General features: G+C 45.6%; 1 protein-coding gene and 1 long non-coding RNA gene across 2 annotated transcripts; both read right to left on the reverse strand.

Annotated features, from left to right (window-relative positions):
- On the reverse strand, nucleotides 15,788-17,061 carry LNC-RHL1 (lncRNA regulator of hepatic lineages 1). The gene is made up of 2 exons (XR_007062898.1): nucleotides 16,795-17,061; nucleotides 15,788-16,332 (listed from the first exon to the last, which is right to left on the reverse strand). It is a non-coding gene; the product is annotated as a lncRNA regulator of hepatic lineages 1 (long non-coding RNA).
- APOA4 (apolipoprotein A4) lies at nucleotides 23,579-26,183 on the reverse strand. Its single transcript, NM_000482.4, has 3 exons — nucleotides 26,022-26,183; nucleotides 25,538-25,664; nucleotides 23,579-24,760 (listed from the first exon to the last, which is right to left on the reverse strand). Exons 1-3 carry the CDS (start codon nucleotides 26,068-26,070, stop codon nucleotides 23,746-23,748), a joined length of 1,191 nt encoding a protein of 396 aa, NP_000473.2. The 5' UTR covers nucleotides 26,071-26,183; the 3' UTR covers nucleotides 23,579-23,745.

The following is a 26,427-nucleotide window of genomic DNA, read 5'->3' on the forward strand; positions in this document are numbered from 1 at the left end:
AGGGGAGGGGAGGTTGATTGGGGAGAAATAGTGAATAACTGCTAATGGGTGTGGGGTTTCTTTGTGGGATGATGAAAAAAGTTCTAAACTTAGTTTGTGGTGATAGTTGTACAAATCTGTGAATATACTAAAAACCATTCAATTGTAGTGAATGTTATGGTATGTGAATTATATCTCAATAAAGATATTTCTAAAATCAGGGATTTTATAACTGAGAAAGAAGGGAAGAATAAAGTTGCAGAGGAGACTTGCAGCCTCTGCCACACCAAGGACGAAAAGGTTTCAAGAGTGAAGAATTAATGGCTTCCCACCATGGCAGACTGAGCTGAGCTGAGGCTGTGTTTTCAATGCTTTTCTATCTCTACTCTTTTTTTTTTTTTTTTTTTTTTGAGACAGAGCCTTGCTCTGTCACCAGGCCATACAGTGGTGTGATCTCGGCTCACTGCAACTACCGCCTCCCGGGTTCAAGCGATTCTCTTCCCTCAGCCTCCCAAGTAGCTGGGAGTGCACACCACCACACCCAGCGAATTTTTGTATTTTTAATAGAGATGGAGTTTCACCATGTTGGCCAGGCTGATCTCAAACTCCTGACCCCAAGTGATCCGCCCACCTAGGCCTCCCAAAGTGCTGGGATTACAGGTGTGAGCCATCCCCCTGGCCTCTATCTCTACTCCTAAAAGAACCATTTCTGACCACTTAACACCCATTAGAATGTTATTTTAAAAAATAAAATAAAAGCCAAAAATAGCAAGTGTGGGTGAAGATGTGGAGAAGCTGGACCGCTTGTACGCTGCTGCTGGAAAGGTAAAATGGTGCAGCTATGGTGGAGAACAATACGGCAGTCCCTCAAAAAATTTAATCTAGAATTACCTTATGACCCAGCAATTCCACCTCTGGGCATATATCCAAAAGATAAAAGCAGGGACTGGAGCAGATATTTGTATGCTCGTGTTCCTAGTAGTATTATCCACAATAACCAGGGGGTGGAAACAACCCAAATGTCCATTGACAGATGAATGAATAAACAAAATGTGGTATATACAGACAACAAAATATCACTTAGCCTTAAATAATGACAATCGGGGGCCAGGCATAGTGGCTCACGCCTGTAATCCCAGCACTTTGGGAGGCCGAGACGGGCAGATCACTTGAGGCCGGAAGTGCAAGACCAGCCTGGCCAATATGGTAAAACCCCGTCTCTACTAAAAATACAAAAATTAGCCAGGTGTGGTGGTGCATGCCTGTCATTCCAGCTACTTGGGAGGCTGAGGCACGAGAATTGCTTGAACCTGGAAGGCAGAGGCTGCAGTGAACTGAGATTGTGCTACTGCCCTCCAGCCTGGGTGACAGAGCGAGACTGTGTCTCAAAAAAAAAAAAAAAGAAAAGAAAAGAAAAGGAAATCTGACACATGCTATAACGTGGATGACCCTTGAAGACATGATGCTAAGTGAAACAAGCCAGTCGTAGAACGACACATACTGTGATTCTGAGGTATCCAGAATAGTCAGATTTGTAGAGACAGAAAGTATAATTCTGGTTTCTAGGAGAAGTGAGGAAGGAGAAGGTATTGGTTAATAGGTACAAGTTTCTGTTTGGGAAGATTAAAAGTTTCTGGAGCTAGATAGTGGTGCACAACAGTGTAAATGTATTTAGTGCTACTGGGCTATATACTTAGCTACAATGTACAATAGCTACAATGGTAATTTTTATGTTATGTATATTTTGCCACAATTTAAAAAGGAATTTCTCATACTCTAATGGTTTTTTGCTGATAACCCAAACTTAAAGAGCCTGTGCTGTAAAATACAACTGCGCTGGATTGTCTTTTTGCAAATAGCATTATCAGTGCCCTTTCTAAGGTCTTTTATGAGATGCAGAGGGGACACTTGGAACTATTAATACATTTTCTAGAATCCCTTCTCTATATGAGCCTAGGTTAGAGTCAGCCAGCGTGAGACGGAAGAGGAGAGGCCATTATGTTTCAATGCCGGTTGCAGACAGAAGCATGGACAGGCTTGGAGTTTAAAGCAGCTTCTGGGTGACCTTCCCAGGAATCACATGCATTGATATTGCAGGCATAATAAGGCGAGCTTCCCATTTGTAGCCACTTACTAATGAGCGTTTGAGAGTCACTCCTTCTGAACTGCAAACCAAGGTGGTCACTCCTCCAGCCCTTCCAAGAGTTGGATAAACCTTTAATTTTTTGTTTTAAAGCCTTTCATACTTGAAATACGTGGAATGGCTTTTGTTTTTCTGACTGAACCTGGATTGATACAATGGGTAGATGCAACACACACTCATGCTTCCCTGTTTGGTGGCATCTTATAGTTTCAGTGTTGAACATGTTTTGAGTTGGTTGGAGGTATATGTATATGTGTATGTGGTATGTGCTTTGTGTGTGGAACCATTTGAAATAATTATAGCCAACATGACACTTCACTCTGAATACTTCAACATACATTGTGAAAAATAAGGACTCTTTTACAAAAGAAAAAAACATTATCATACCTTTGAAAATTAACACAATTCCTTAATATCATCTAACATATCCTACATATTCAGATTTTCCCCAAAATGCTTTCATAGTTGTTTTTCTCTCTCTGTAAATTCAAGCTCTAACACATCTCATCTGGTTGTTATCCCACTTTAGTTTTTAAATTTAGAACCGTTCTCCCCAACCCCACCATTTGTTTGTTTTCATGACATTGATTTTTTTTTGGAAGAGTGCAAGGAGGACATCTTGTAAAATGTCCCACATTCTGGATTTGAGTGATTACTTTCTCATGATTAGATTAAGGTTAAACATTTTTGGCAAAAATACTAGGTGATATCTGGCCATTCTTACTGTATCCTAGCTGGAGGTTGCACTCTATTTAGTGATGTTAAGTTTGATCACTCCGTTAAAGTGATAACAACCAGATTTCTCCATGGCTAGTAAAGTTTGGTTTTTTACGTTATTGATAAGTAATTTGTGGAGCAATACTTTGAAGCCATGTGAGCATCCCATTCTGCAACAATTTTTCACCCAATGGTTTTAGCATTCATTGATGATCCTTGCCTGAATCGAATATTATCCTGAGAGTTGCCAGATAGTGATTTTTAAAAAATTCTAGGCCAGGTGCAGTAGCTCATGCCTGTAATCCCAGCTCTTTGGAAGGCTGAGATGAGAGGATCACTTGAACCCAGGAATTTGAGACCAGCCTTGGCAACATGGCAAAACCTGTCTCTACAAAAAAAAAAAAAAAAAAAAAAAAAAAACTAAAAATAAAATACAAAAATTAGCCTAGCATGGTGGCACACATGCTTGTAGTCCCAGCCACTCAGGAGGCTGAGGTGGGAGGATCACCAGAGCCTGGGAGGTTGAGGCTGCAGTGAGCCGTGATCAAGCCACTGCACTCCAGCCTGGGCCACAGAGTTGCCCAAAACAAAATGAAAACTTAAAGAATTCCATCATTCCAGCTACATTTATTATCCGATTTCTTCTGTAAGTAAGAGCTTTTAGGGAACTTGTTCTTAAATCCAGAGACTTTGAACAGATTCCTTCCAGGTGAACTTGTTTGTGCTGCCCTTTCCTTGACTGTCGTTTTGTATCACAGTGTTTGCGGATAGCTGCATTTTTAAGAGAGTTGCCCCTCTATTTTGTTTTGTGTTTTTGTTTTTTAATACACAAGAATTGCTGACTCATTCTGGATGTGTAGTAAGAAGGATTTTAAAATGTAGATTGGTAAAGGTTAGCAGGTACCTTATTCCTTACTGCTCAGCAGCAGCACTTTTGCCTTAAACACATGGATTAAGCAAGTGTATGGGTCTCAAATAGACACTTGATATGCACCAAGTGAGAAGATCTTCTAGAGTCTTTCTTTTGTGACCTGTTCTTTAAAGCAACATTATGACTTCTCCTTCTGAACAGTAAGTATTTTTTTTTTTTTTTTTTTTTTTTTGGCAGAGTCTCACTCTGTCACCCAGGGTGGCTGGAGTACAGTGCTGTGATCTCGGCTCTCGGCAACCCAGTCACTTGGGTTCAAGCGATTCTCCTGCCTCAGCCTCCTGAGTAGCTGGGATTACAGGCGTGTGCCACCGTGCCTGGCTAATTTTTGTATTTTTAGTAGAGATGGGGGTTATTCCATGTTGGCCAGGCTGGTCTTGAACTCCTGACCTCAGGTGATCCACCCACTTCGGACTCCCAAAGCTCCCAAAGTACTGGGATTACAGGTGTGAGCCACCACACCCGGGCCAAGTAAATCTTGTTACAAATTGTTCTCCTTCAGTCTTGTCTTCTAAGAACTCAGATGTAAACTGTGAGGTAGCAGTCTTTACTTGGTGTTCCTGGACTCCATCTCAGAACGCACCAAAAACATCTATATGATTGTGGAGCCACTCTACATTGTTTCTACTGCTATCACCAGACCTTAATGGAGGTGTGGGTTTTTTAAAAATCAATATACATCTCAAATACATTTCAGAAAGAAAGGTGTTTATGCTTAACGCAGTGTTAAAACTATCCCAGCAAGAAAGTAGTAACCTGTGTAAGCATTTTTTTGTTTCTTTGCTTGTTTGTTTATTTGTTTTTGAGACAGGATCTCACTTTGTCACCCAGGCTAGAGTGCAGTGGCATGATCACAGTTCACTGCAGCCTCAACCTCCCAGGCTCAAGCAATCCTCCAGCCTCTGCCTCAAGCAATCCTCCAGCCTCTGCCTCCCAAGAATCTGTAGTTTCTGGGACTACAGGAGTGTCCCACAACACCCAGCTGATTTTTTATTTTTTTGGTAGAGAAAGGATCTCACTATGTTGCCCAGGCTGGCCTTGAACTCCTGGGCTCAAGCAATCCTCCTGCCTCAGCCTCCCAAAGCACTGGGATTACAGGCATGAACCACCATGCCTGGCCTTTTGTTTGTTTTGAAATAAGTTCTATTTGTCAAAAAGAAAGAGAATTAAATAGAACATCTATAAGTGAAAAAAATATAGTCATTATAATATAAAACACATTTAGCTACAGTTGGAGAGAGAATTAGTAAGCTAGAAGGTAGATCTGAGAAAATCACACAGAAAGAATCACAGAAATAAAAAGGAGGATATTGACCAGGCACGGTGGCTCATGCCTGTAATCCCAGCACTTTGGGAGGCCGAGGCGGGTGATATTGGCCAGGCATGGTGGCTCATGCCTATAATCCCAGCACTTTGGGAGGCCGAGGTGGGTGGATCACCTGAGGTCAGGAGTTTCAGACCAGCCTGGCCAATATGGTGAAACCCCGTCTCTACTAAAAATACAAAAATTAGCCGGGCGTGGTGGTGCATGCCTGTAATCCCAGCTACTTGGGAGACTGAGGCAGGAGAATAGCTTGAACCTGGGAGGCAGAGTTTGCCGTGAGCCAAGATCATGCAATTGCACTCCGTCCTGGGCCACAGAGCAAAACTCTGTCTCAAAAAAATTAAATATAAAAAGGAGGGTATGAATAGACGGTAAGAGACATGGAGGACAGAATGGGAGGTCCAATATATGCCTGTAGGATTTCCACGAAGAGAACACAGGGACTGTGGAAGAGGCAATATTCAAAAGATGATGGCTGAGAAATTTCAAACATTGAAGCAAGATGTGACCGGAATCCTCAGGTACAGGAAGCATCCTGAGTCTTGGTAGGAAAAATTAACACACAACCAAATGAGGACACATCGCAGGAATCTGCAGAACACTGAAGGCAATGGATATCTTAAAATCAACCAAAGAGAAAGACTAATGATCTACACACGAAGCATGATTAAACCGGCAACTGATTTATCATCAATGTACCTTCTAAAGACTGAAAGGAAATTAATGGCCAACCAAGACTTATACTCAGGTGAACTATTATTTGAGAGGAAGAAGTTAATTTCAGAGAAAGAGAGTTTACCACTCACAGATCCTCACTGAAAAGAACTACTAAAAATCTGAAAAGGAAACAGAACCCAGAAAAAAGGAATAGGATAGAAGGAGACATGGGGAGCAATGAAATTAGTAAACGTTTAGGTAAATCCAAAAAACATTAGTGAAAATACACACACACACACTTATGAGACTAGTTTTCACTAAAAATTGGTCAAATAGTGGCAATTTCATATAGTTCTACCTAACAAAAATGTATTTACACATAGTTTAGTTTGTGGGGGTTTTGTTTGCTTGTTTGTTTGTTTGTTTTTTGAGACAGGGTCTCACCGTTGCCCAGGATGGAGTGCAGTGGTGTAATCACTGCAGCCTCGACCACCCTGGGCTCAGATGATCCTCCCACCTCAGTCTTCTGAGTAGCTAGGACCACAGGCATACACCACCATGCCCAGCTAATTTTTATATTTTTTTGTAGGGACGGGGGTCTCGCTATGTTTCCCAGGCTGGTCTCGAACTCATGGGCTCAAGCGAGCTGCCCGCCTCGGCCTCAAAAGTGTTGGGATTACAGGTGTAAGCCACCCTACACCTGGCCAAGTTTATCTCATTTCCTACTGTACTCCCAGTGCCTAGACCAGTGCTTATCACATGGTAGGGAGGGCTCAAAAACATCTATTGATGAAGGGACTACTTTGGAGGAGGTGTTAAAAGTAATGAGGAACTAAAATATCAGACCGAAGCAACCTGGAAATGGGAAAGGAGAGATCAAAGTGAAAGCATTCAGCAGCCTTTGCATTATTCGGGAGGAAGATAGGGATATTGATTATCTATAGACTTTGTTAGGTCAGACAAGAATATTAAAATTTTAAGGATAACCCATAAAACGAATAGAAAGAATGGATAACTTTTAAACTAGTATATGGGGAAGAGAGACTAAAGAGCATCCGATTGACTTCTAGTAACGGACGGTGGATTAATTGCATGCATTAGCCTCTGCTGTTCTCTGAAATCTCAATAACGTGGCATTGAAGTGCACTTTTTACAAAATGCATAAACCCAAAGGGAAAATAGAAAAGGAGACAAAAATAACAACATTTGGGAAGCTGGAAAGCTTCCAAATGATCAAACGGTGGTGACAGGCACACCTGACATGAATTTTGAAGCAGCAGTGGAGAAAGCCAAGAAGGCCCCTGATTTTCACTACTAAACTCTCCAAATGCTCTGACATTAGTGTCAACATTCTTCTGGAAGAGTGGGTGGCAGTGGGACTAGAAATATGGCAGTTGGTCGAGAGTCTGTTTGAGAAGCAGCTGTTCTCTTCAACTCTACTTGGCTGGGTACCCCCAAAGCAGCAGAAAACCAGATGCTTATTCTCTCTGAAAAGGGTAAAAGAGTGGGACTCCGGCCTGGAGAAAACTAGGTATTGTTGGGGGCCAGGGTTTTTGTGCTAAGAAAAATTAAGGAAAACTTTATACATTAAATTTTGAGGCTGGGCACAGTGGCTCATGCCTGTAATCCCAACACTTTGAGAAGGCAAGGCAGGAGGATCGCTTGAGCCCAGGAGTTCGATACCAGCCTGGGCAATGTAGCGAGACCCAGTCTCTGCAAAGAATACAAAAATTAGCCAGGTATGGTGGCACCTGTGGTCCTAGCTACTCAGGAGGCTGAGGCAGAAGGATTACTTGAGCCCACGAGTTAGAGACCGCAGTGAGCCATGATCATGCTACTGCTCTCTAGCCTGGGCGACAGAATGAGACCCCATCTCAAAAATAAATTTTTTTAAAAGACTCCTCAGTTCACCATCTTTCCCCATATTGAAAATGGAACAACATTCTCCCTGAGAAATTTGGCTGGCCCAAGGAAATAGGCCTAAAGAAACTGACTTTTGGGGGTTCCCTGCTCTCCAGATGGTCCCTCCTAAATTGAACCATGGACTCAGGATTTCACATCAGCTTCTTCTAATTTATGCAGCTTTCTTCTAATTTACTGTGGGGTTTTTTCGGTGTTTTTTGTTTTGTTTTGTTTTTTGAGACAGGGTCTTGCTCTGTCATCCAGCTGGAGTGCAGTGGTGTGATCATAGCTCACTGCAGCCTCAAACTCCTGGGCTCAAGTGATCCTCCCACCTCAGCCTCCTAAGTAGCTGGGGCTACAGGCATGACCACCACACCTGGCTAACTTTTTAATTTTTTGTAGAGGTGGGGGTCTTGACATGTTGCTCAGGCTGGTCTTGAAATCCTGGCCTCAAGCGATCCCCCTGCCTCAGCCTCCCAAAGTGCTGGGATTTCAAGCATGTGCCACTGTGCCTGGCTAAGAATACTTAAAGGTGAAGTGAGAAGTTCACATGATGTCATATCAGGAGGTACACAATGGCTACTTGTCCCACTAATAGCAATCCTTAGTTTTTTCACTTCGTGAGGTGGTCACTAGCAGACCTCTTGGTTGGAAAGATAGGTTATTTCCCTTTGTAATTAACAAGTAACAGAATTGGGATACTTTGGCATCTTAAAATACCTTGGCAACCTGATGAACATAGCATACATTCAAGATTTTTGCCTGAATTAATTATTACATTAGAAGAGTTGCAGAATGAGAATGTTCTAATTCTACTATTTCTTTTATATATTTCAGCTGATGTTATTCTATGAAGAAAAGCTCCCTCATCAGTGAAGATGAACTGCACTTCTTTCTAAAGAGGCAATGTCAGACGGGCACGGTGGCCTATAATCCTAGCACTTTGGGAGGCCGAGGAGGGTGGATCACCTGAGGTCAGGAGTTCGAGACCAACCTGGCCAACATGGTAAAACCCTGTCTCTACTTAAAATACAAAAATTAGCCGGGCATGGTGGCACATGCCTGTAATCCTAGCTACATGGGAGGCTGAGGCAGAAGAATCGCTTGAACCTGAGAGGCAGAGGTTGCAGTGAGCTAAGATTGTACCACTGCACTCCAGGCTGGGTGACAGAGTGAGACTCTGTCTCAAAAAAAAACAAAACAAAACGAAACAAAAAAACAGTTGACAGTAGTTGTTTTTGTAGAGTGAAAAATAGAGGTGGGGGTTGAGATACTGCTGCTATTTTAAACTAACTTGTAGATCTGTTTGACTCTTTTTTAAAAAACAATTTTTTGGAGAGATGAAGCCTTGCTATGTAGCCCGGGCTGCTCTCAAACCCCTGGCCTCAAGTGATCCCCCTGTCTCGACCTCCCAAAGTGCTGGGGTTACAGACATAAGTCACCACACCTGGCTCTGTTTGACTCTTTATGTGCAGTTTGAACTTTTTAACTGAATTTTTTAAAAGGTGTGAAATTAGTCTTTAAAGGAACACAAAACCAACAGAGAAGCAAGCAGGAAGATACAAGAAGCAAAGAAATATCATAGTAAAATGAAAATACAAAATAATATGACATAAATAAAACAGTAATCACTATCAAATTAAATAGATTAAGTGAGCCCACAAGGCATTGTCTCTGGGACTAGTCCGCTGGGTCGAAGTCCTGCCACTTATTGGTTCTGTGACCTTTGGCAAATTAACTTCTCTGTGATTCCATTTCTTTCTTTTGTTTTCTTTCTTTCGTTTTTTTTTTTGAGACAGAGTCTCACTCTGTCACTCAGGCTGGGTGCAGTGGTGCAATCACCAATCACAACTTACTGCAGCCTCCACCTCCTGGGCCCACGCGATCCTCTCACCTCAGTCTCCTGAGTCCCTGGGAACACAGACATGTGCCACCCTGCCAAGCTAATTTTTAAATTTTTTGTAGCGATTGGGTCTCACTATATTGCCTAGGCTGGTCTCAGACTCCTGAGCTCAAGTGATCCTCCCGCCTTGGCCTCCCAAAGTGCTGGGATTACAGGCATGAGCCACTGCACCCAGCCTCAAACTCTGTAAAAGGGGAATAATGATAATACTTGCCTCATAGGGCTTGTGGGAAATAATGCTTTATTACTGTAGGTTAAAAAGCACACAAACATGCTTGACACAGTAGGTGCTACATCAGTTTACTATTGTTGTTGTTTTCAGATTGGATTTTATAAAAACTCTACTTATTTGCAATTTATAAGAGGCATACCTAAAATATAATGTCAGAGAAAGGTTAAAAAGTGGAGCCAGGGAAGGAATTTAAGAAGACATACCAGACCAATAGTAATCAAAAGAAAGCAGGTATGCAATGTAACATCAGAACAAATAAGCTTTGCTTATTTGGATTGATAGGGATAGATAGGATTGATAGGGATAAAGCAGATCATTATTTAATGATCAAAGAAGAAATTTGGCTGGGCGTGGTGGCTCACACCTGTAATCCCAGCGCTTTGGGAGGCCGGGGCAGGGGGATGGATCACAAGGTCAGGAGTTTGAGACCAGCCTGACCAAAGTGGTGAAACCCTGTCTCTACTAAAAATACAAAAAATTATCCGGGTGTGGTGGTGCATGCCTGTAGTCCCAGCTACTCAGGAGGCTGAGGCAGGAAAATCATTTGAACCGGGGAGGCAGAGGTTGCAGTGAACTGAGATCGCACCACTGCACTCCAGCCTGGGTGACAGAATAAGACTCTGTCTCAAAAAAAAAGAAAAAAGAAGAAGAAGAATAAATTCACTGGGAAGATAAAACAATTCTGAACCTGACAACATAGTCTCAAAATACGTAAAGCAAAAAGCCACTGAGTCCCAAAGAGAACTTGACAAATTTGGTAGGAGATTTTAATACCATTTCCTCAAACTGATGGAATCACAGAAAAAAAATATAAGAACAAGTCAGCAAACTTGATATGGAAAGAACAGCATCCCCACCTGAGAGTCAGCAGCCTCCATGCAGGAGGACCGAGGGGAAGCCAGGGAGCAGGGCAGCCTGAGCCAAGGCCAAGCCCAGTTGAGGACAGGAAGTGGAAGGAGGCACCTAGGAAGGCTGAAGATGCAGAGGAGTGTGTTCCAGAGGCAGTGGGAAAACTGGGAGGGAATAGTTCTCGGGATGTTGGATAGAGAGAATAAGCAAAGAACAATGCAGGAAGAAGAGTGGGGTGGGAGGCCGTGACCTTGCTAGAGAGCCTTATGTTTTGGGCTATGACCAGGGCTGACAGAAGTGTGAGGCATGGCGGGTTCAGAAGAGAGATCAATGATGCATCGCACATCTCTAAAGCTGATGAAGGCAGCAATTGGCACTGAGGCCAACCTGGTTGGGACTCAGAGAGGTGGGACACATATTGTGTGCCAGGCACCCTGCCACATCTTGGAGAGAATAAGACACAAACCCTCATCTAGTGGGTTGGGGAAATGATGCAGGGCTCAGTGTGGCTAGCGCGTTGGGGTGGGAAGCAGCCTGGGCACGCCCACAAGGCTCTCTGCCTTCCAGAATCTGGCCCAGTTGGGTTTGAAAAGATTTAATGACAATGAGCTCTCTATGGACCTACCTTGTGCCCAGTATTTACCTTTCTTATCTGTAACGCTCAAGTCAATACTCTAAGGTAGGAATTGTTATCCTCATTTTATTTACAGAGAAACTGGAGTTCAGAGAGATTCTTGCCCAAGGTCTTGCCCTGGGCCAATTCCAGGTCTATCTAACTCCAAAGTCCATGCTCAGTACACTGTCTCCTGCTTGGGAGCAAAGAGAGGACTTTGCTCCTAAGACCAGACCCATACCACAAAGAGCCTCAACACTTAACTACTGGGAGAAAACACCGTCCTAAGTAAAAAGCCAGGTGCTCTTCCCCTTACCCCAGGGGGTTTAGGATTTGGGAGAAAGAGGCCTGATGGAATATAGGGGTACCAGGTCCATGTGTTAACTGATCTGGGTACAAGAACAGTAACTCAAGGCCAGCCAGGGAAAGAACAGCCAAGCCGAGGCACAGCTGCCAAGTCATCACCTCTCGTTCCTTGTCCCACCATGCCTTGTCTCAGCACGAACATAACCCCCTCAGTTTCCCTCTTCTCCTGTCTCCTGCATAGGCAGAACCAGTTCTGAGTGATAGCCAGGACAGCAGGTCCTCGGGTCCTCAGGCTTGCCACTACAACCTGTTTACCCTGCGCAGACCATGATCCATCAGGTCGAGAAATGCCCCACTGCTAGATGTTTGTGTCAAAAATGCCTGCCGGTGGTGCAACAGCTGGGTGGGACCAGTGACGTGGACTTGAGTGCCACAAAATGTACCGAACACATTCTGAGTCAACATAGTGATGGTGTGCCAACTCCAGATAAAGATTTTCATTATTATTTGTTTGGGTTTTGTTTATATGTACTCCTCTTCATCACCAAAGATTTGAGGCTACAGAAAATGAAAATTGAAATGGTAATAAAAGAGAGGGGCTTGCAGAGAGGACCACAGGATGGGGAAAATAGAAATAATCGCAGAAAATCATGACCCGATGAAGAGCACAATCATAGAAGCACTAACAGATGACAAGGTTGCCAGATCTTCACCATTGGTTTTGGGTTTCGTGAAAACCCGCGAAGAGAGGGATTCAGTCAATTACATATTTTTTTTCCTTCTTTCTTTTATTTTTATTTTTTATTTTTTCTTGAAATGGAGTCTCATTCCGTCACCAAGGCTGGAGTGCAGTGGTGCAATCTTGGCTCACTGCAGCCTTCACCTCCTGAGGTTCAAGCCATTCTCCTGATTCAGCTTCCTGAATAGCTGGGACTACAGGCATGAACCACCATGCCTGGCTAATTTTTGTATTTTTAGTAGAGACTGTCACACGCGAGACAGGGTTTCACCATGTTTGCCAGGCTCTTGAACTACTGACCTCAAGTGACCCGCCCACCGCAGCCTCCCAAAGTCCTGGAATTACAGGCATGAGCCACCGTGCCTGGCTTGTTTTAATTTTTTATTATAAACAACACTGTGATGAACATCCACATAGCTAAATGCATGCATTCCATGATCATTTTCTTAAGATAATTTTTTTCTTATTATTTGTGTATTTATTTATTTATTTTTGAGACGGAGTCTTGCTCTGTCACCCAGGCAAGAGTGCAGTGGCACAATCTCGGCTTACTGCAACCTCCACCTCCCAGGTTCAAACAATTCTCCTGCCTCAGCCTCTTAAGTAGCTGGGATACAGGCACAAGCCACCAAGCCCAGCTAATTTTGTATTTTTAGTAGAGACAGAGTTTCGCCATGTTGGCCAGGCTGGTCGCCAACTCCTGACCTCAGGCAATCGCCTGCCTCGGCCTCCCAAAGTGCTGGGATTACAGGCGTGAGCCACCTCACCTGGCCTTAAGATACATTTTTGAAGGGAAGAACATTTTCTGTCCAAGTACATTCCTGTTCACAAACCCTTTTCCATAACACTGGAGACTTCCTGGGGAGGTTGGAACCAATGGCTTAGACTCCAAAGGAATGAATGTACCATAAAGCTTTCAGCAATCTTCTGTCAATGCTACTTGTATAGACTTCCAGACAAACATTGAAGATTGAATGCATGCATCTAATTTCACTTTTTTTTCCTGAAATCCTCCTGAAACTATAATGAAGAAATGTTTGGGAAAAGATGTAGCCAGGCACTGTGGCTTATGCCTGTAATCCTAGCACTTTGGGAGGCCAAGGTGGGCAGATCGCTTGAGTCCAGGAGTTTGAGACTAGCCTGGGCAACATGGCGAAACCCTGTCTCTACTGAAAAAATACAAAAAATCAGCCAGGCATGGCAGACCTGTAGTTCCAGCTACTCAGGGGGCTGAGGTGTGAGGATCACTTGAGCCTGGGAGGTAGAAGCTGCCGTGAGCCCTGATTGTGCCACTGAACTCCAGCCTGGGCGACAGAGTGAGACCCTGTCTCAAAAAACAAAAAAAAAAAAAAAAAAAAAAGAGACGGGATCGGGAAAAGGAAGAAAAGACCACAGCACAATTTTGGATGTTAGAAAGCAAATGGACCAGTTGTGACTGATTTAGCCGGCCTTGGGAATGCTGGTCATGAGCTGGCAGTGAGAAAAGATGAGTTCCAGCCTGACTTACACCGCTGGATTCTCAAAAGGCGAAGAGATGATAGTAGGGCTCCTGCCAGCCCACGCTGCACCTGTGTGTGCAATAGAAACAGCCTCCCCTTTCTCAAGACACTCTACAGCCGTCTGCCAGAAATTTGACATGATAAATATACAAATCTGTCATGTCTACCCTGTGAGGGAGGTGGCCTCAGAATGATACAGTGCACAGCTTGCACAGCCATATATGACTGTCCTGAATTGGGACACCAGTTTCTACTGAAAGTAGAGGTGACGGAGGAGGCTGTCATAAAACATGAAAGATTGGTTGAAACTATTTAAGGAGCAGTTAGAGCTTTAGCTTCCCTGTCTCACCTTAGTAGAAGACTGGAAGTTTATTCTCTTGAACGTCAGGCAGAGTTGAGGGCAGGAGACCTGTACTAGCAAGAGGATTAAATCAAAGTATACCCTCTGAAATGCTGAATCACCCTCCTGCTTCTTCCACTTGGCCCCAGGGACACTGTATTCAGGCCTTTACCCTCCAGGCAGAAGAGTGAAAGACATTTCTTAGGGGAATATGTCCAGCTCAAGAGGTAAGACCCAAAGATTTTCACAATGGGGTTCCCCAGCTAAACATCTCAGTGGATCACCCTGCAGTGACATTCATAGTCAATAAGTACTACGCACGTATTGGAGCTTCAAATCACCTTTAAAATCTCCCATTCTTTTCTTTTTTCTTTTTGAGACAGAGTCTCGCTCTGTCACCCAGGCTGGAGTGCAGTGGTGCGATCTCGGCTCACTGCAAGCTCTGCCTCCCGGGTTCACGCCATTCTCCTGCCTCAGCCTCCTGAGTAACTGGGACTACAGGCACCTGCCACCACGCCTGGCTAATTTTTTGCATATTTAGTAGAGACAGAGTTTCACCATGTTAGCCAGGATGGTCTCGATCTCCTGACCTCGTGATCCACCCACCTTGGCCTCCCAAAGTGCTGGGATTACAGGCGTGAGCCACCGCTCCCAGCCCAAATCTCCCACTCTTAAACTTAAGCAACCAAGGATTACCAGTCATTTGAGGAAAGATTCTAACATGAAAGATAGAGACCCAAAACAAACAAATATTTAAAAAGGAAGTTAGAGAAAACTGAGAATATACAGAAAGAAGAACATTGAAAAATGCCATTAATAACATCAGAGAATGAAAAGATTACATTGATTAAACAAGAACAGGATAGTATAAAAAGACCTTCACAGAATAACAATAACAAAAACTCTTAGAAATTAAAAAAAAGATAGTAGAAATAAAAACTGAATAGAGAGTAAAGAAATAGTTCAGAAAGGGAGAGCATGTAGAGATTGAAGTAAGAACAAAGATAAGAAAATGAGAGGATCCACGCCGGGCGCAGTGGCTCACGCCTGTAATCCCAGCACTTTGGGATTTAATATAAATATATTAAATATTTTAAATAATATAATTTTAAATAATATAAATATATTAAATATATTAAATATTTAAATATATTAAATATTTAAATCTTTTTGTCTTGCTGAGTTGTATGAGATATATATATATTTATATATAAATATAGATATAAATACATATAAATATAAAAATATATATATATCTCATACAACTCAGCAAGACAAAAAGATTTATTAAATTCATTCAGTCAACAAATATTTATTGAATACCTACTAAGTTCTAGTCATCATGCTAGGCACTGACTGTTCAAGAATAAACATAGACAAGACTTCTGCCCTTTCAGAAACCAGCCAAGATTCTTCAACCCAAGGCAGCTGTGAAGTATAACACATCTCTGGCTCAATTTTCTCCATATGGTTTGGGGTTCCATGAATGAGTCTGTGGGAAGATTTCCTGTACGTAGAATGCATGTATAAAGGAATAATTATTCTATGGTTCGAAAGAGAAAAAAAGTAAGATCAAAGTGTAGAAGCTATGTTAAGAAAGATTCCAGTTTAATGATTTTTGAAAGAGCAGTAAAAATAAGACCAAGATGTGGAAGCTGTATTGAGAAAGATCCAATTTAATTCTAATAATCTTTAACAGAATTGCCCAAAGATAGAATGAATTGTTTTGAGAGATGGTACAGTTAGCTGTCAGTGGGAGTGTTCAATACTAAGCAAGATTCACTCGCTCAACCATTGAGTGATGACCACATGCAGGCACTGTGCTAGGCTCTCTGTATTTTCAGTAAGCTATTGTTGTACAACAAAGCACCCTAAAACAGTGTCTTAGAACAACAGTAAATGTTTATGATCTCTCACAAAGTCTGTGGGTCAGCAGCTTGGCTGTGTGTTTCTGGTTCAGAGTCTGTCATGAGGTTGCATCTGAAGGCTTGGCTGAGGCTGGAGGATCTGTTTCCAAGGTGAATCACTTTACATGGCTGGCAAGTTGGTGCTAGCTGTTTGGAAGGGGCTTCAGTTCCCCCCTGTGTTGACCTCTTCACAGGGCTGCTTGCACGTCCTCCCAACATGGCAGCTATCTTCCCTCAGAATGAGTGATCCAAGAGAAATCAAGGTAGGTGCCACAATGCCCTTTATGATCTAGACTTAGAAGTGAAATACCATGACATAGCCTATTGATCACACATCAGCCACCATTGTGAGGGCTAGCTACCACATCCTGCAAATACAATGATGAACAAACAAATGGTGTGCCTGAGCTCGAGGGCTGTTAGCCTAGAGTTAAGATCATTCCTTAAATGATATCAAAGGAATTAGGGCTGAGAGACAAGGTTGTTCCCTCCAACCCTAATGCCCTGTGATCTTATGATTCCAGGTCCTAGGTCTTTTGTTCCCATATCACCAATCCATTATCTCAGAACCAGCAGCTCACCAAACCCTCGCTCCTCAGATGTGGGCCATTCGGGGGTTTTTATTGTGCCCCTGCATTGTCAGCTACTTGTCATCACACAGCAAGATAGCATGACTCCACCCTGCACGCTCTCAGACAGGAGACAAGGGAGTGCCCAAATAACCCTAAGCTTGTTGTTTCTGTCCCCAGGACATACCTCAGCCTCCTCCTGGGAGCACAGGGCATACTATGATAACAGCAGGAGGACACGGCGTCCCCATGCAGGAGCTGCTTTTGATCCTGCCAGGACAATCCCTCAAGAGCAGCAAGGCCCTGTATGTACAGGAAGAGAGTGGCCCTCAGATCACTTCCCTTTGCCCTAATCAGGGCCACGTAGTACACCAGAGACCTCAGGGGTAGTGACCCTGGATGTTCTCAGAGGACTTCTGACCTTTGAACTTGGGGATGGGCATAGGAGTGTGGCTAGCATCTCAGCCTGGCCCAAACCAGTGCTGGTCAGCATGCCTTTGAGGCACTAACCCAGGCCCACAGAGGAGTCATCTACTTCCAAGTCACCTGAGGAGCCAGTGGTGACCAGGGAGATAATGGCCTGAAATTGTGCTGGCTCTGAGGGACTGTTGGGTAAGCTAATGTGGGCTGGGCTGGAGTTCAAACACACCTCCCTGGTGCCCACAGGGACCTCCCAGCACACGCTCTCCTATGGGTCTCAATGATTCAGTCTTTCCTGGTGGCATAGACTGTAGCCTGGAGAAGCTCTGGGGAATATTTCTTTTCTTACTTATTTCTGGTTTTAAAAGTACTACTCTCAGGATGACTATTGTTAAAAACAAAATAAAACAAAACCAAAAAATAACAGAAAACAACAAGCGTTGGAGAGGCTGTGAAGAAATTGGAACCCTGGGCGTCACCAGTGGGAATGTGAAATGGTGCCACTACTATAAAAAAACAGTTTGGCGGTTCCTCCAAAATTTAAATATAGAATTACCGTGTGACCCAGCAATTCCACTTCTGGATATTTGCTCAGAAGAATTGAGAGCAAGGACTGGAAAGATATGTGTACACCCCCATTCATAGCGGCAGTTTTCACAATTGCTTAATGGATAGAGTTTTCTGTTTGGGGTGATGAAAAGATTTTCAGAAATAGTGGTGGCGGTGGTTGCACAACATTGTAAATGTAATTAATGCCACTGACTTGAACACCTATAAATAGTTTAAATGGTAAATTTTATGTTATAAAAGTAATACTAAAGTGGTGGCATTTTTTTCTTTTCTTCTTCTTCTTTTTTTTTTTTTTCTTGAGACAGGGTCTTCCTCTGTTGCCCAGGCTGGACTGCAGTGGCATGATCTCAACTCACCCCAGCCTCAACCTCCTGGGCTCAAGCAATCCTCCCACCTCAGTCTCTCGAGTAGCTTGGACCACAGGTGTGCACCACCACACTTGGCTAATTTTTGTATTTTTTGTAGAGACAAGTTTTCGCCATGTTGCCAGGCTGGTCTCGAACTCCTAGGCTCAAGCAATCCACCTGTCTCAGCCTCCCAAAGTGCTGGGATTACAGGTGTGAGCCACCACACCTGGCCTAAAATGGCATATTTTTTTCTTTCTCTTCTTTTTTTTTTTTTTGGAGACAGAGTCTCACTCTGTCACCCAGGCTGGCAGTGGCATGATCTCGGCTCACTGAAATCTCCGTCTCCCGAGTTCAGGCGATTCTCCTGCCTCAGCCTCCCTAGTAGCTGAGATTGCAAGCACGCACCACAAAGCCCAGCCAATTTTTGTATTTTTAATAGAGGAGGGGGTTTCGCCATGTTGGCCAGGCTGGTCTTGAACTCCTGACCTCAAGTGATCCACCCGCCTTGGCCTCCCAAAGCGCTGGTAAAAAAAAAAAAAAAAAAAAAAAAAAAAAAATCCCATTCCACCACTTGCTAGGTAATGTACCTCACCATTCTGAAGTGCCTCTTCCTCATCTATTGTGTCTTTGATGTGATGGTCGATCATGAGAATTATATGAGCCAATATGGTAATATAAGGTGGTTTTTAAAAGCACCTCACACTACCAGCATTGCAGTCAGCAATGAATTGCCATCCTTGCATTGAAAAGCTCTACAACCGTTGCCACTGGGCATTTCTTATTGGCCATCATTTGTAGGGGGCTTTCACCTCCTCATGTATTCCCTGTTTTCCCTTCTGTGACCTCCCCTCCTTTCCTACTCTTCATTACCACCTCAAATGCCAGTGCAGGGAATGCACGGAACAATTGACTCCATCTCTCTGCCTTGTGGTCTCTTTCCAGCCAGTTCCTCTGGGTGTCCTGGTCAACAGCTAGCATGCACTGTCAATGACATTCTCTCTTTCAGAGGTATTCTAGGTCTAACTGTTAAGCTAACAGGATTTTCACTTCCTTACACGTTCACATACCAATATGTATGTGTGTTCCTTGACCGGGTTGTAAAGTACATAATAGTTGAAACCTTGCTTTTTTTTTTTTCATAAAATATCTTGGACATCTTCCCATAAATAAACAGATTCCCCAAACCAAACCAGAGTGTTTTGCTTGAACTCAGGACCTCATGAGAGATCTGAGACCAGCTGTTAGAGAATCTCTGAGAAGGGCAGGTAGAGGCTGTTGCCCAGGTCCCCAGTCAGCTCAGCCGCTGGAGAGGAGCAGAGGACTGACTGGCCACAGGGGGACTAAGTCCACCTGCTAGCTCAGAACAGGAGGAAGGCTGCTTTCCTTGGAAGATGGGACCAACCCTAATGAGGACTAATAAGTGTATCTCAGACAAACCAATTGACCAACTGGAACAGGCCAGAGATGAGGGTGTGTCTTCCAAGGCCCAAAGCAAGAGAAACATCCCTAAGAGGGAAGGGGTGTGTGGGGTGTGTCAATCAAAGTGATGTGTGTGTGTTTGTTTGTTTTTGAGACAGAGTCTTGCTCTTTCACCCAGGCTGGAGTGCAATGGCCTGATCTCAGCTCACTGCAACCTCCACCTCCTGGGTTCAAGCAATTTTCCTGCCTCAGCCTCCTGAGTAGCTGGGATTACAGGCGTGTGCCACCACACCTAGTTAATTTTTGTATTTTTAGTAGAGACGGGGGTTTCACCATGTTGGTCAGGCTGGTCTCGAACTCCCTATCTCAGGTGATTCACCCACCTCAGTCTCCCAAAGTGCTGGGATTACAGGCGTGATCCATCACGCCTGGCCTCAATCAAGGTTTTTAATTGCTAGCCACAGAAACCTACTCTGGAAGACATAATCAGAAGATGAACTTACTGACATATTTCCAGGAATTTCAAGGAAATGTCTAGGAAAGCTGGAGTACTTGGTTTGGAAAATAAACAAGAATAAGGGGAGCTGAGGGAGAAACATGGCCATGCTCATGCCACAGAACTAGAGTGATGGGGACGGCTGTGCTGTCACCACTGAGCCAGGATGGGGACAGCCCAGTTTGCCCACCAGCCACTGCCACGCCTGGTCCCTGGCCTGAGGCTCTAGCCTGGCCGCAAGCTGCCTGTTGCTGCCGCACTGTTCCTGCCCACCCCAGAAAAGATTCTCCACTGTCTCTGTTTCTTTACACCAGTCTGGGGCAATTACATCTGATTTGCTGAGCATAGGTCCCATGTCCCATGCTGGAGGTAAGCGAGGCTAGAAGGCAGGCGACTGGAGTTGTTAGTGTCTGTAATGGAGGCAGCCTCTGACTCCCACCAAAACTCATCAGCGAGACACTTTCGAAACAAAACAGGAGAGCTTCAGAGGCTGGGAAAGTGTCTTAGATCTTTTGGGCTTCTATAACGAGACACCAAAAACTGGGTGGATTACAAACAACAGACATTTATTCCTCATAGTCCTGGAGGCTGGGAAGTCTAAGAGCAAGGCACCAGCATATCCCGTGTCTGGTGAGGGCCCACTTCCTGGTTCATAAATGGCACCTTCTCGCTGTGTCCTCGCACGTGGAAGGGGCAAGGGATTTCTGTGGGGCCTCTTTTATAAGGACACTAATCTCATTCATGAGGGCTCCCCCTTCATGACCTGATCACCTCCCAAATGCCTTCTCTCCTAATGCCATCACCTTACAGATTAGAATTGCAACATAGGAATTTAGGGGGACGCAAACATTCAGTTCACTGCAGCAGCCAAAAGCAAAGTTACTACCAAGAGACCTCTGCCAGACCCAGGGGATTGATGAGACATCTTGGTACAGGAAAGAGAAGGCATTCCTCATCCAGGAGGACGAGGACTGTGGCAGGACCCTCAGAGACCTGCAGGATGGCCCTAAGGGTGGTGGGAGAGGTGCACGGGTCTAATCCAGGATTCATATATAGATATATTCATATCTATATTCATATAGATATGAATATATATATATGAATATCTATACATGAATATCTATATGAATATCTATATATGAATATCTATATGAATATCTATATATGAATATCTATGAATATCTATATATGAATATCTATATGAATATACATGAATATATGAATATATATGAATATATGAATATCTATATGAATATATATGAATATCTATGAATATCTATATGAATTATATATGAATATCTATATGAATATATATATGAATTATATATGAATTTATATATGAATATATATATGAATATATATATGAATTATATATGAATATATATATGAATATATATGAATATATATATGAATATATATATGAATATATATGAATTTATATATGAATATATATGAATTTATATATGAATATATATATGAATATATATGAATTTATATATGAATTATATATGAATATATATGAATATATATGAATATATATATGAATTATATATGAATATATATGAATATATATATGAATTATATATGAATATATATATGAATTATATATGAATATATATGTGTGTGTGTATATATATATATATATATATATTTTTTTTTTTTTTTTTTTTTTTTTTGAGACAGAGTTTCTCTCTTTTTGCCCAGGCTGGAGTGGTGCAATGGCGCGATCTTGGCTCACTGCAACCTCCGCCTCCTGGGTTCAAGCGATTCTCCTGCTTCAGCCTCCCAAGTAGCTGGGATTACAGGAGCCCACCACCACGCCCAGCTAATTTTTTGTATTTTTAGTAGAGACGGAGTTTCACCATGTTGGCCAGGATGGTCTTGATCTCTTCACCTCATGATCCACCCACCTCGGCCTCCCAAAGTGCTGGGATTACAGGCATGAGCCACCGCGCCCGGCCCAGGGTTCATATTAAGAACCAAGTTCTGGGAGACACTGAGGCCCCCAGGGGTTCTGGAGTCAGCACTAAACCAGGCAGCCCTCAGGTGAGGTCTGAGAGCATCTCAGAAGCTTCCAGACCCTCTTGGAACCCGGCCCACCCTGCATCTCACTTCCTTTTGGTGACTCGTTGCTCTGTTTGGCCTCATTGGCCCTTTCCTAAAGCCATCCAGTAAACCTCCAGGTGCCTGGTGGGTTTGTCAAGGTGTTTCCCCATAGGTTCCTGTGCTTCTAGTGGGGGTAGGTATCAAAGTGGCCGCAGCAGCCTTACTGGCCTGGTATGCAGGAGCGAGAGCAGCTGGGGCAGGGGAGACCCGGGGGTCTACCCTTGGCCAGCTGTGGCGGTCTCATTAATAGAGTGTGGCCTGGAGGTGAGCGGGATGAGGAAGTCACATTTACTGCAGCACCAGCTATTGCACGGTTATTCTGTGCCTGATGTTAAGTGCTTGACTCCGTTGCTCCATCAAACCTTCAGCACAACTCCTCTCTAAGCAGAGGATTGTCATTACCCATGTCTTCCAAAAGAAGCTCAATTATTCGCCCCACATCACCCGGTAGTCGGTCAAAAAGCCAGGATTCAAACCTAGGCTTGTCTGATTCCCAAGCATACATCCCTCCCACCAGGCCAGCACCAGGGGCCAGAGGGGTATAGGCCTGGGCCAGACCATGCTGGGGGCCACTACCCTGAGGGCACCTTGAGAGGGAAGGAGGAGGCCCCAGGACACCCTCCAAGGGGACTTCCCCCTCCTCCTTAGCATGTTCCAGGCCTCTTCCAGGAAAGCCCTGAAGGGCCTGCATCCCCCTGTGGCGAGGAAAGGGAGGTGGCTAGACTCGCAGGGCTGGGGTCCACGGGTAACAGGCTGTGGAGTCGTTTGAGACAAACGCTTGAACTGGCTCTTTCCTTGTGAGGTTTTCGAGTCTCTAAGGGTGGGGTGAAAGACCACTCCAAGGCTGCAGCTGCCCACAGCTGGCTGTGCTGATGAGACTGCTCAGGCCCCCTGACTCTCTGCCCCTAACCCCAGTGGCTGCAAACTCAGCCCCAAACTGGCAGGCCACCTGGCAGGAGGCCCCTGGACAGAGCAGACCAGGGCCCCGCAGGCTCCAGCACCTGCTCTGCCCCTCCTCCCCAGACTCGTCTCGGTCCCCAAGCCTCAATCCCCAATTCTGGATGGAGACCACAGGTTTAGCAGTCAAGAAAGTTCTGAAATAAGCATGAATCGCTTTCATAATGGAACTGGGGTGGGGTGGGTTAAATGACACTACATGAATAAGTTAAAGGCACTGAAGATCTCGTGCAAGGAGGAACCATCTCCCCCAGTGTACTGTGAGCCCCCCAGGGCCAGGGACCCTGTTCTGCTCGCCTCCAGGTGTCCCCCTCAGTGTGAGGCAGAGTCGGGCACATGGCTGCACAAAAGCTGTTTGCTGGTTGTCCGGTGCCTAGAATAATGACTGGCGCATCGGAGGCATTCAATGCATATTTGTTGGCTAAATGAATATAAGTAGGTTGCATATTTTGTCTTGGGATAATGTGTGACATCTTTTTCTGCCTCCCCTTAGAGGACTCCCCATGTACTCGCCTCCAGTCCACCAGGCCCTTACCTCTCCTGCAGTCTCATCTCCCCAATCCTGGGTGTCTCCTGCCAGGCCGCTGCTAAGCTCTGCCCAGTCATGGTTACCTCCCCACCTCCCCAGCTGCAAGGAGGATTCATCCGGCAACCAGTTGAGGCTAGATTCTCAGCAGCTTTATTGAATATTGAGAGGTGGTCTCACCTCCCACTGGACATGTGTCCTCAAGTTCATACCAGAACTTCTTTGGGACAGACAGACAGACAGGTGGCAGGGCAGGGCAGGTGTCCACGAGGGTGGGGCCAGTGCACCAGGGGCAGCTCAGCTCTCCAAAGGGGCCAGCATCTGCACCTGCTCCTGCTGCTGCTCCTGCTGCTGTTCCTGCTGTTGCTCCAGCTCAGGGAGGGAGAGAGTCTTGTCCTGGCTCTCTTTCTCCTTGAAGGTGCTGAAGAAGGAGTTGACCTTGTCCCTCAGGTCCTTCTCCAGGAAGCTCAAGTGGCCTTCCACGTCCCCCGCATGGGGGCCCAGTTTCTGCCTGAGCTGTTCCATCTGCTGCACCAGGGCTTTGTTGAAGTTTTCCCCGTAGGGCTCCACCCGGCGTCGGAACTCCTCCACCTGCTGGTCCAGGTGCCCACCCAGCTCTGCCAGTGACTTCTGCAGCCCCTCGGTGTTGCCCCTCAGGTTGCCACGCACGTCCTCGGCCAAGGGCGCCAGCCTCTGCCGCAGCTCCTCGGCACTGGCCGAGATCCTGGCCTTGAGCTCCTCGGCGTTCTTCTTCATCTGGAAGGTCAGGCCCTCAAGCTGGTGGTTGAGCTTCTCCTGCGTGTCCTGAGCATAGGGAGCCAGGCTGCGGCGCAGCTCCTCCACGGTCTGGTCAATCTTGACTTTGAATTCGTCAGCGTAGGGCGTAAGGCGTCCCTTGAGCTCCTCCACGTTCTGGTCGATCTTGGCCTTGAGCTCGTCGGCGTGGGGCCTCAGCGAGGCCTGCAGGCTGTCGGCGTTCTCCCGCAGCACTCTCTCCATGCGCTGTGCGTAGGGGGTCAGCTGGCGCCGCAGCTGCTCGGCCTGCGTGCTGACCTGGGTGCGCAGCTGGTCCGCGTAGGGCTCCAGGCGCTGCTGAAGCTCTCGCAGGTTGTCCCCGATCTTCTGGCTCACCTCATTGGCATGGGGCAGCAGCCGGGCCCTCAGCTCCTCCAGCTCCTTCCCAATCTCCTCCTTCAGTTTCTCCGAGTCCTTGGCCAGGCGTTCATGCAGCTCGGTGGCAAAGGGCACCAGCTTCTTCTGCAGGTCACCTGCGTAAGTGTTCACTTCTCCAAGTTTGTCCTGGAAGAGGGCACTGTGGGGAAGGGCACAAGGAGGCCACGTTACATTTGGCATTTACACGGCAAGACTTTGTCTGCTTGTATACCACTCGCCTTATGCACACGTGCTAGGACAGGTGAGTGCTCAGAGGTACCGAGTTCACCCTCCCTATGGTGGTGCAGATTGGAGAGGATGGGTGTCACAGACTAAGTTACGATGCTGAATTTCTATCTCAGGATCTCCCACATAGTTTGTCTCAGAATCTACCCACCATGTCACCTCCAGCAGTTTGCTTTCCCCTCCTTGTCTGCAGAGGGTGGGACTTTGAGGTCCTTCCCAGAGGGAGTGTTCTGGGCCATAGGATCACATTGTGTAACACAATGTTGTCTTCTTGACCTCTGCTGGGGTCTTCCAGTGGCACAAGGTGCTGCTTTCCTTGCCTGTGCCCAGGGGCCTCCCAAATATTCCCACCTCCCTCCCCTTGATTCCACTGGGGCCTGTCTTTCTGAAACGTATTAGAAATCAGCTCACGTGACATTTTCCTCCCTCCCTCTCTTCCATGAGCCTGAATGATAGGATGTGGCCATTTGTCAAACTCTAGAACGTCAAAGCAAAAGGACATGGCAGGGATTATTCGGTCCAAACTTCCGGTTTACATATGTGGATCCTAGGTTCAGAGGCCCGGCCAGTTAGTGGCAGGGCAGTGGGTATCCTAAGCTCAGGGCTCCTGTCTCTAAGCTCAACCCTTGCCAGTACATTGCATGGCCTTTAAGAATTCCCCGTCACCACCGCACACTGTAGTCCCTCTTACTTGAGTTGCTGGGTGAGTTCAGATTTCTGGAGATGTTCCACGGCCTCCTTGGCATTGTTGCTCAGCTGGCTGAAGTAGTCCCACATCACCGTGGCCACCTGGTCAGCACTGACCTCAGCCCTGGCTCCTGGGTGGTAACAGAGAGCAATTCATGAGGCCCCGTCTCCTGTGTGGCCCCTCTGCTCCAGCTCTGAGCTGCAGACTGGATGATGGTGGGGGTGCCTCAACCTGCCATTTTCCCTGTCTGAGCTTAGCTTTTTGGAAGCCACAGGGATATGTGAAACTGGTATAGCACCAATGCCAATGGGCCCACCACTGGGACTGGGCCAGCTCTCCTGTGAGCCACTTGGCAGCCAGGCAGACCTCATGTCCAGCTGGGGGCTGATGGGCACTCAGAAGTGTCCTTTTGCTTTGGCTCAGCCTCCATCCTGCACTACTCAGAGCAGCAGCCCAGGAGTGCCATCCAAAGACAGCTTCTACTCACCGGCGACAGCCACCAGGGCCAGGGTCAGGACCACGGCCTTCAGGAACATCCTGAGCTGCTTGCTGGGCTGGAGGAGTTTCTTGCCACACTGGATCCTCCCTACAATCAGGGGAGCTGACAGAGAGGTCCTCAGGAGAGCTCACCTGCGCTGCAGTGGGAACTGACTGAAGCTCAGAGCCAGCCAGACATTTAAACTCTCTCCCTATCGCCACCCCCCTGGCTGCCCTCCCCTCCTCCTTCCTCAGTGTGACTCCACGCTGGAAGGTGACACATTCCCAAGAGGCCTCTTGGACTTTTGTGACCCTGAGACTACGTGGAAGCTGACAGCAGATCAGGGCTCAGGCGATAGTTAGAAGTGGTGGCTGTTCCGTGCGTGGGCACCCCCACCCCCACCCCACCAACCTCA

The sequence above is a fragment of the Homo sapiens genome, chromosome 11 (assembly GCF_000001405.40).
Source record: "Homo sapiens chromosome 11, GRCh38.p14 Primary Assembly".
NCBI classification, from domain to species: Eukaryota; Metazoa; Chordata; class Mammalia; order Primates; family Hominidae; genus Homo; species Homo sapiens.

Coding starts and splice junctions, on each gene's coding strand:
- APOA4 (NM_000482.4), bottom strand. CDS start 26,070: ATGTTCCTGAAGGCCGTGGTCCTGACCCTGGCCCTGGTGGCTGTCGCC. Junction 25,665..26,021: donor GGCCCTGGTGGCTGTCGCCG/GTGAGTAGAAGC, acceptor GTTACCACCCAG/GAGCCAGGGCTGAGGTCAGT. Junction 24,761..25,537: donor GAACTCACCCAGCAACTCAA/GTAAGAGGGACT, acceptor CCTTCCCCACAG/TGCCCTCTTCCAGGACAAAC.